General features: G+C 45.4%; 1 annotated feature.

The window, feature by feature from the left end:
- Positions 7,557-9,213: an enhancer, noted in NCBI's record as "VISTA enhancer hs634". NCBI's record gives its function as "enhancer in: neural tube[8/17] | hindbrain (rhombencephalon)[8/17] | midbrain (mesencephalon)[8/17] | forebrain[8/17]" and the evidence as "EXISTENCE:transgenic organism evidence [ECO:0001131][PMID:17130149]".

Below are 9,604 nucleotides of genomic sequence, written 5' to 3' on the forward strand. Positions count from 1 at the left end.
TGTGCAGGTGGAACCATCTAGATAGCTGGGGAGTCTCACACCCAGAGCGTTTTAGACCCAAGGTGGCCTTCATGGCTCCCACGAATCCCTTCACGGTTTAGAAGAGATCAGCTCAGCAACGACGAATGCCTTCCCTCAGTTGTGCCAAGGGGGCAGCGCCAGGTCTCCTGGGTCAGAACCACGGGACAGCCACGGGCATTCTTAAGGCTGCCAGCCTGTGGGTGTCACCTGGTTCAGCCACTTTCGGAGGAAGTCGGTGGGGGACAAGACCCACTTTTGCAGATTTAGAAAAGGAAGGCAGAAGTGTCTGGGCACGCGGGGAAACGCAAAGACCTGCTGAACCAGTTCATTTCTAATCAAAAGGAGCGCTGGTGTGGGGTATGAAGGGCACGTCTTCATGCCGTGTCGGCATCTGCTGTTAGAAAAACCTTGAGTTCTATTCCCACCTATGAGTGAGAACATGCGGTGTTTGGTTTTTTGTCCTTGCGATAGTTTTGGACACAGGAAGGGGAACATCACACACTGGGGCCTATCGTGAGGTCAGGGGAGAGGGGAGGGATAGCATTAGGAGAAATACCTAATGTAAATGACGAGTTAATGGGTGCAGCACACCAACATGGCACATGTATACGTATGTAACAAACCTGCACGTTGTGCACATGTACCCTAGAACTTAAAGTATAATTAAAAAAAATAATATATATATGAAAAACCTTGAGTTCTGTTTGGACAATGAAAATGTGGGACAAACTCGGGTGAGGAAATTCCGTCCAGCTCCCCCGTTTCACAGGAACATCCCAGAGTTCACAGCACAACCACTCCTCCTGCCTGATTACAATAGGTTGATCGGAGAAAGAAAAGGATGATTATCTCCAAAAAGGATTTGGTAGACAAAATCAGTTATTTAATAAGCGCTTGCTAAAGCGCTGTCCATTTTACACTGGAGAGCTTTGCAATAACGCTCTCGCGGAATTCCTTAGGATGATGGCTTTCCTGGGCAGACGCTCACGTGCTAAGTAACTTGTCCAGGGAAACGCAGGGGGATAATGGCAAGGTCTGAACGAAGCTCCTTCTCCCTGGAGTTTTCATCTAGTAGCTTAGTGTACTGAGCCAGAACGCTTCCCTACATGAGTTTCTGGATTAAGAATTGATGGTGGGTGAACGCGTTAGAATAAAATAATGCAATGCAGGAATACATTTTCTAAAGGCTACATTTCATTAAGCTTTAAAATCCAAAATAGAAAGCATCTAAAAATATATTGTTTGCTTGTTTAATTTTTTAATTTGTATCTGACTTGAAACCAAATAATTACATTTTACTTTAGAAAATGAGATCCCCACCGCTCGGCACAGCTCCATTTACTCGGATGTTTCCATAGAGAGAGAAGGAAGACAGTGACCACTGGCTTGTGAACCCGTTCACTCAGAAGTCACGGCCTGTGTGCGCTTGGGACACAGTCGAAGTCTGGCCTCAGATCTAGATACACTGTCATAGGGCTACCTCTGTTCAGAGCACAAATGTGCCACACTTCATGGCCGGCTTTGAGAGACACAGAGCCCAGTGTGACAATCTGGCTTTGGATTTATTAAATGGTGCATTTTTTTCTTCCTTTAAGCCCCACTCATCGGATGGTGTTGAGTATCTACTATGCACCAGCACTAGAATAGACACGGGGTCCCCAGTGCTCCACAATGCACGCATGTCCTGGCCTCACCGCCACGCGTTTGTTCCTGCTTCCACACCAAAAGAATGCATCAGCGGGGCTCAGAACGGGACAGTGAGCCCAGCATTCCTGGGAGGGGGCTGGAGTGGCATCTGCGGGGAGAGAAGGAAGAGCTGTGTGCTGCTGGCCAGGACACCCTGCTGCCTGTGGGGCCCTCATGGCAGCCTGCAGGACTGGCCACGTTCTTTAGTGCTTTTTCTGTCCTGCTGTGAAATTAAAAAGAAAAAAAAAATACATCTTTTTTTATGCTCTTCTCTTCAAGTCCTGAGTATCACAAAAAGTCCCCAACTCCCAACTTCAGAAGAGGAGGTTAAGTGCTGATGAAGAGTGAGATATTATCTTTGAGAAACAAGAAAATCCGTGCTAAGAAGATGAAGGTAATTGTTGCTGTCTGAGCATTCTTTAAATATTTTTTTCTTCCAATGGACGACTTAATATGCATTGCTTAGATCCTACAAAGTTAGTTAAAAGAGCAAAAAAATTCATCCAGTTGTGCCGCTATGATAAGGTTAAGATTTAATATTTCTCCTATACCTTCTGTAGGGAATAGATTCTGCTGTCTAGTCAACATCTTGACGTATGAAATACATTTTTGAATAATTTAAATGTGGAAAAATGACAAATCACTGTGAACAAAACCGAGTTCAGTTTTCAGAAGGCAGACTTCTGCATCTCTGCATTTCCAGTGCGGGATCTGTCTCTCTGTCGAACTCTCTGCTGGGTCATGAGGGTCAAACCAGAACTCAGCCCATCTGGACGAGCAAAGCCACGGAAGAGGCTCCAGCCGGTCTGTTCGGCTCTCCTCGTTCATAAACCATCTCTTAATCTTCTTTTTTTCTTTTGCAGACTGTAAACCAAAAGTGCTTTTGTCTTTTGCTAAATAAAATGTCACAAGGACACACAGATGGGAGTGGGGAGCAAAGCCATGTGCAGGCGGCTCTTCACCTGAGCTCACTCCATGGGCGTCCGGAGACTGACCACGTTGCTCCTCTGTCCTTGGTTAACGGGTGTCTGGGGCTCAGCCCTGCAGTCAAAGCTTCGGTTTGCCGAGGGCATTTTCCCTTTGCAGGGGTGGGTATTTTGAATGTGCACACACAGCGGCAGGACACATACTTTAGATCACAAAGGGATTAGCCAAAGGCGGCATCTCCACCTCCAGACTGCACAGAGGGAGACAGACGAAGCTTTGGAGTGGGGAGGTCTCCTCACAGTCAGCCCTCATCCTCCATTCAAATCTGGTGCCGAGTTTATATTATGAATAAAAGGACCTAAGTTGCTTTTTCTAAAACTGCTAATAGCGTGCGTTTAAAACATTCCCTTTTTCAGCAGTTATATTTACTATTTTTATACTACACAATAGTCTAATTATTTGCTGTTGGCCAACAAATCATCTCAGAGTATGCATCTGTTTTAAGATAAACAAGGAACAACAGACTTCCTGGTACTTTTAAGCACAAATGTTGCATAACACAGAGGCTGGGCAGGTTTCCACTGATTACTGTACTGACAAATAATCTTTGGAAATTTTGAGCTTATAATCATGGCCAAATTGCTTAATTCATATGCAACATCACTAAAGGAATTCAGTTTGGGGATTTCTTTCCATTTAAGTATTTAAAATTTGTTCTTTAATGTAGCTTCTTCTCCAGCCCCTTAAAATTAACCAAATCACAGAATGATTTCTGAAAATAAGGTGGTACCAAAATCTGAAATTTAAAAACACAATTTCATTGTTGAAAAATTCAGCACTGTGATTGTGCCTGCTTTGTGCATGCAATAAGATGCATTTCTTCTTTTCCAATATTTTTTTCTCTTTAATAAGTTTTCCAATATTTAATTTGGCTTGATCTTATTTTTAATATTTTTTACACTTTCTCTCTAAAGAAAAAAAAGGCGAGTGAATATCGTGATGGGTGCAGTTATGCTGAATAATTGGATGGGAGGACGTGCCAGGCGATCTCCAGCCCCTGGGAGCCGGACGCCCACGCCTCCCTCTGCCTCGTTCTCACAGACACATTTGTGGGGTGATTAACTCAGGAATTCATGCTGCTCAAAGTAACTACAGTGGTGAGTGTTTTGACCGGTTTGATGTAGAAATCAAGGAAAACACCAGAAAAATCAGGGGCGGAGGCCCAAAATCCCTGGCAGGCTTTGGGCGGGTAATAAACACACGGCAGGCTATAAAAGCAGGTGATTTAAAGGAAGGCAAGTGTTTCAGCACAGCTGGTATTTTAAAATCTGACATTATTTTCAGTATTTATTTTAAATCTCAATGCTTAAATTGATTTAAGAAGGTCAAAGAATATGCTCCACTTTCCCTCTCACATGTAGAGAATCAGGATGACCCTCAAAAATAAAGAAAGGAAGAATTGCCATTCGTTGGCTTTGAAAAGAGGAAGAAAGTTATGTGCACCGTCCACCGAGGAATGAATGACACCCCGATTCTGAGCATCAAGGAAGCAGAAATGGGAAATAAAATTGATGCTGTACGTGAATTTTTTCCAGACAAGCTTGTCCCAGAACCAGGTGCTCACCCAGTCCCTTGGAGGATGGCGGGCTTTAGTGACCGTGGCTGCAGAAGCACCTCTCGCTTCCGGGCTGTACTGTATGTAAACTGAGGTGTGCATTCTTACCGCTTGTCAAAACAATCCTGAAATCCCATTTTCCTTTAATAAAGTATAGTTTTGTCCTCCAGATGTATGCTTGAATAAGATGTCATACTCTGTTTTTGTTCCGGATTGCACCCTGCTGATGTTCTTAGGCAGCAAGAAAATTACCTTATTGAAACATATTGCTGGGAGTGACGACGGTGCCAAATTTTGCATTGGTATTACACACATGACATATTCAGAGACCTTTGAGTAAGACTATGAATATCAAGTGATTGAAAAGATTATACAGGCTCGGGTTTTTTTCTTGGGGTATAAAAGGTTGTGGTTCTGGATGAGTGTCTTTCAGATCAATATAATTATGTCATAAAAACATGTCACAAAAGAGTTTACTTCACAGCCTTTCACACTTGCCTGCCTTCACACTGCTCGGTATTCTGTGTGGAGTTGCCTCTGGTAGTGGCATTCGTCCTGTGGGGGTACGTGTTTACAATTCCTGGTTTCCCATGCACACACAGGCCTTCTGGATTCCGTCTATCATCCAGTGAATAATTCCTGACATCCAGGACTCAGTGGAGGTGTGGAGATGCCATCCCCCACTTCACACACGCGCACACACACACACACACAAAGGGAATATGTGGAAGTGTGGCTTACTGCTGTTTGAATAATCCTGAGGCTGCTAAAACTGTAGGTGAGAGGCTGAAAGAGAGGGTTGAGGGAGCTGGCTGTGGACTCTCTCTTGCCCTAGATGGACTTGGCCACACATGTGCTGATGTGAGACCCCAGGGTCGTCCCCCTCCTCCAACCAAACCCCCAAGGCCAGTCCCAGCGTCCTCCCCTTACAACATGGAGTTGCGCTGATCCCTGCTTCTGGCTCTGGAGAAGAGGCCCTGTGAGCCACAGTGCCAGGAGTGAGTGTCCAGCGGGAAGGAGACACCAGGGAGAGGGGACCCTTGGAAGCAGCAAACAGGAGTTGGAGGAGACTCACACTAATTTGTTCCTCTGGTCACTGACTACAGATGCTCATTAGCAATGGTCTCCAGTTAAAACAAGATCATCTGATATTGGAAGTCATTCAATTCTTCAGTCCACTTCTAAGTGGATGTCGAGTTCATGAATTCAAAAGTATAGTTTCTGGGCAAATATCTTGGCTTTTTTTGCAGGGAAAACGGGGAGGGGTGACATTTTCACCTCAAGACAGAATAATTTTTCTTTTAAAAGAACACAAACGCACAAAGGCAAGCTGTCCTCCAACAATTTCCAGCTTCTTGGTCCATCTAAGTGACACCCATCGTATTCATTACTTAAAGGAGGAAGTGAAATATTTAGAACCAGAAGTGTCAGACCCAAACAGGGGCTGTGCTTCCTGCCCAGCCGCCACCTCAGTTTGGCAGCCACCCTCCTTCAGAACCCTCCTACTGTTGATTTCTAAACTGCCCCATGCTCAGAAATATGAAGAGACAGAGAACCTTCCGGAACTGGAACTCTCCTCACTTTCCAGAGACAATTGAAACCCCAAATAATAGCTCTTGCACTTTGCCTGTTTTTGAAGAAGGTTTTCACTTTCTCTCTTTCTATTATGTCTCTCTGTCTTTATTCTCCTATTTCTAGCTCATTTGTTTCCTTTTTTCATTAGTTTTTGGTCACCAGGACTTGACTTCTCTGCCTCTCCCTCAGTGACCATTGCGAAAAGTGACGGGCGGTCAGCAGGGCCACTGTGTCTGAGAGAGGTACAGGAAACCCGGCCTCAGAGTCAGCCAAGCAGGCAGGACAGCACCTGCCATTTGAATGATGAGCAAAGAATTTTCCTTTTAGGAAAACAACCAGAATATAATTTAAATGCTCTATGTTGCTTTTGATCAACGCTTCATTACTCCATTAAACTAACCCACTAGAAAGGAAAGCTGTGATGAACACAGGAGTGTTCCAAACACCCTAGTTCACCACCCAGCAATGATCTTCTCCTGAGGCATCTTCCGGAACACGCTCTTCCTGTACATTGGCGGAAACATCCTCCTCCTCTTGAGCAAGTCTTCACGTGGCATGAATGGCATGAAATGCTCTTCCTCAGGACTCTTGCCTCACAATCTGTTTTGGTCAGTTTTGCTCAAGCACCTGTGAACACGGGTGGTTTGAGGCCAGAGAGCAAAAGCTTGCGGGCAACTGGGCTCCCTAGACAGCAGAATGCCCATGTGTGCATGAAGTTCGGCCCTCCACGTAAACATCTTAACAATAACATTCCCTTTCTCAGCACATGATTTTACGTATCCTGATTGAAATGATAGGGGAGAAAAGGCTGAACACAACTGTGTAGCTCATTCATTGCAACATCGACGGTCCGCGTTGCCACCGGTGCGGAAATCCCTCCCCTCGTGAAAGTGGATCCCTTCTTTGCCTTTCCTTCTTATAAATGTGTACATCACCCAGGATTATCTGCTCCCCTGTGTTTATTACTCCATTCTGTTCACTTTATAGAAATGAAAGTCCTCTCCATTACTTCCTCTGTTTCTAAGTGATGAATGCATTTCCTGGTGATTTTATTACATCGCTGTTTATAAAGGTAAATCTTTCCAGCAGATTCACTCCCCCAGAGGATGGATGAGTCCATCAGGGCCTTGCACGCGAGCCCGGCATGGACAGAGATGGTATCGCTCGCTCACTTCCTCCTCTGGTGAGTGTTGACTTGGGTCCGGTGCCCATATAGACATGGCAGGCATCATCTGTCCAGGTCTGGACCCTGAGCCAGCTGGAGGCTGGGAGTCCTGTGTGTCCTGCACAGTTCTGCGTTCTCAGTGCTCTCACCTTCTCCTTTACTTTTGTGGGTGATTTTTCATCCAAAACCCTGTGTATGTTTCTCACTATGTGATTAAACGTCCAGAACAGTGTTTATCCTCCCCTTCTCGATATCCGGACTCATGGAAGCCCGTCACAGGGCACGGGCGTTTCAACAAATGCTCCTTGTGTCTGTGCTTTTAAAGTCACCTCTGCTCTTAACGGCTGCTTCTGCACCCCCTCTGCCCCTACGGTTGGGTCATAAATCACAGTGCCAGCCCAGCCCCTCAGTTTTGCTTCTGACTTGTGCTACAACACGGTCGTGAAGACACTCCACGCGGGTACTTCCCCAGCTTTCCCTTCCCTAGAAATGCGGCTTCCGAGATTTCAGCACTGGCGCGGGCGTGCTGCCACACTCCTGGAGCTGGCTTTGTGAACACTGCGCAGAACTTTCAGAGTTGGTGGGGTCTTTCGTCATCAGTGGGAAACAGGACGTGGTGCAGGTCATGGGTGCCAGCCCAAAATGTGAAGAGGGCGGTGTTGCTCAGATCAAGAGGGTCTCACACGTGCTGCTGGGGAGGGGGTGAGGGGGGAGGACCACCACGGAGAGCTTAGAGCTGCACATAGGACTCGGGTGGGTGTCAGGGTGAGATTTCTGAGATAATGAGTCTCATTACACCTCCGAGGTTGGCTACCCAGAAACCCAGCTACCTTAGGGGGGTAAATATAATGTAAAGAGGAGAGGAGACTAGTGCGGGGAAATGAAGGCTGCAGCTGCTTCCCAGCACAAACGGTCCTGCGAGGGCACCCGCACCCTCCCTCCAGAACGCAGCCGCTCTCCCGGGGACGGAAGGAAAGTTCAAGCACCGGGGCCCTCGCAGTGGGAGACCAGTCACATGGGCGGCATCATGAAATTTTACTGCAAAATATCCTCTTTTTCTTATTTGAAAAGACAAATTATTAGCATTTTTAAACAATTTCAATATGTTTAATGGCTGAAAGTTAAGCTCAAACTGTTCCGCTTACTGAATAAAGTGCTAAGTCTGTAAACAGGAATCTTAAGTTACCCCAAGAGTACACTCATTTTAAATTTTACTTGAAAGCGGGATGTACGTTTATTACAATTTCAAACAAAATGCTAATGCCATTAAACAAATGAGGTTTAGGCAAATTAACTGCATTTTAATATTCTGAAAGCCTATGATATAGGACATTGTGTTACGAAACATTGGCTAGAAGTATCAGTTGCAAGGGGATTTTCATCGCTGTGAATCTCAGGAGAATATTTGTAATTAGTATCATTTGCCTAATACTTCAGGTTAATTAGAATATTTAATTGAATAGCTGTAATCTTCAGAGATGACTATATTATGATCAAATCAGCACCATCCCCACGCACGCTGATCACAGGGCGGCAGCCTGCCTCACTTCTGCTAGCTATTCAGCCCTCTGGAGCGTTCAGCAACATAAGAAAAAATCTGTTTCTTACACTTTTGAATTTTAATGATCCATTTGAACTCTGCCATCAACATTTAATTATTCTAGAAAAAAAAAAGTCCCAACCATGACTCCCATATGGCATGTTGGCAAATACTCTTGCCCACAGTGGCGTCTGCACCTCTCCCTGGCAGCTCCGAGAAGAGATTTAACACAGCCTTTTCTCCCCCTGAATGCGAGGGCTTCTTTTTTAATAGTGTTTGCAAATACAGACCAGATGAAGCCTCACAGAAGAGGTTCCTAGGATACTATTGAAGCGCTATTAGGAACAGATGAATTGAGTTTTAGAATGCGACAGTGGGTTTAATCCTGTCACGTTTCCGCTGGACCTTCTGTACGGTGTCCAGAAGGTCTGGGGAGTCAGGTGCCTGTTTGGCTAAACCCCGTTAGCAGGAAATGTCATATTTTTTTAAGACATGGAGGGGGGCAGCACTGGGGAGGGGTTTATACAAAAATCTTCATCCTGACTTGAGAGGTAGGGTCTGGACCCTCTTAAGTGGTAGGATTTCACCATATACACATGTCTTTCATATACACACGTCTGTACATGTCGGCATCATGTACCATCCAAACAGTTTGAAAATTAAAGGATCATCGTGGAGTGATTCAAGAGCTGTGGAAACGTATTTATGGCAACAACTACAGTTTGTCAAAAACTCAGACTCAGTCCCAGTGACTTCTGTAGCCTACGGCTATCCTATGAGCACGTCATGAAATCCTGTGAAGGGGAAGCTTCCCCGGCTTAGATGTGTGGATGCAGAGACATTTCAGAGCCCCAGGAAGTGCTTTCCCCAAGGACCAGGGCTCGGAAGGTCAGCTCCACGCAATAAGCCAAAAAAGGTTCAGAAGGAAACATGATTTAAATGTTGGGACAGTGTCCCATGGCATAGAGCCCCATTAGATTTCAGCCCTTTCAAATGGCTCGTAGTGTAAGTACTAAGCCCCTTCACAGGGAAGGGGGTTTGCAGGGAATGAGCAAACTGGGAGTGAGCAGGTGAA

Source organism: Homo sapiens, chromosome 18, assembly GCF_000001405.40.
Source record: "Homo sapiens chromosome 18, GRCh38.p14 Primary Assembly".
In the NCBI taxonomy this organism is placed as follows: domain Eukaryota; kingdom Metazoa; phylum Chordata; class Mammalia; order Primates; family Hominidae; genus Homo; species Homo sapiens.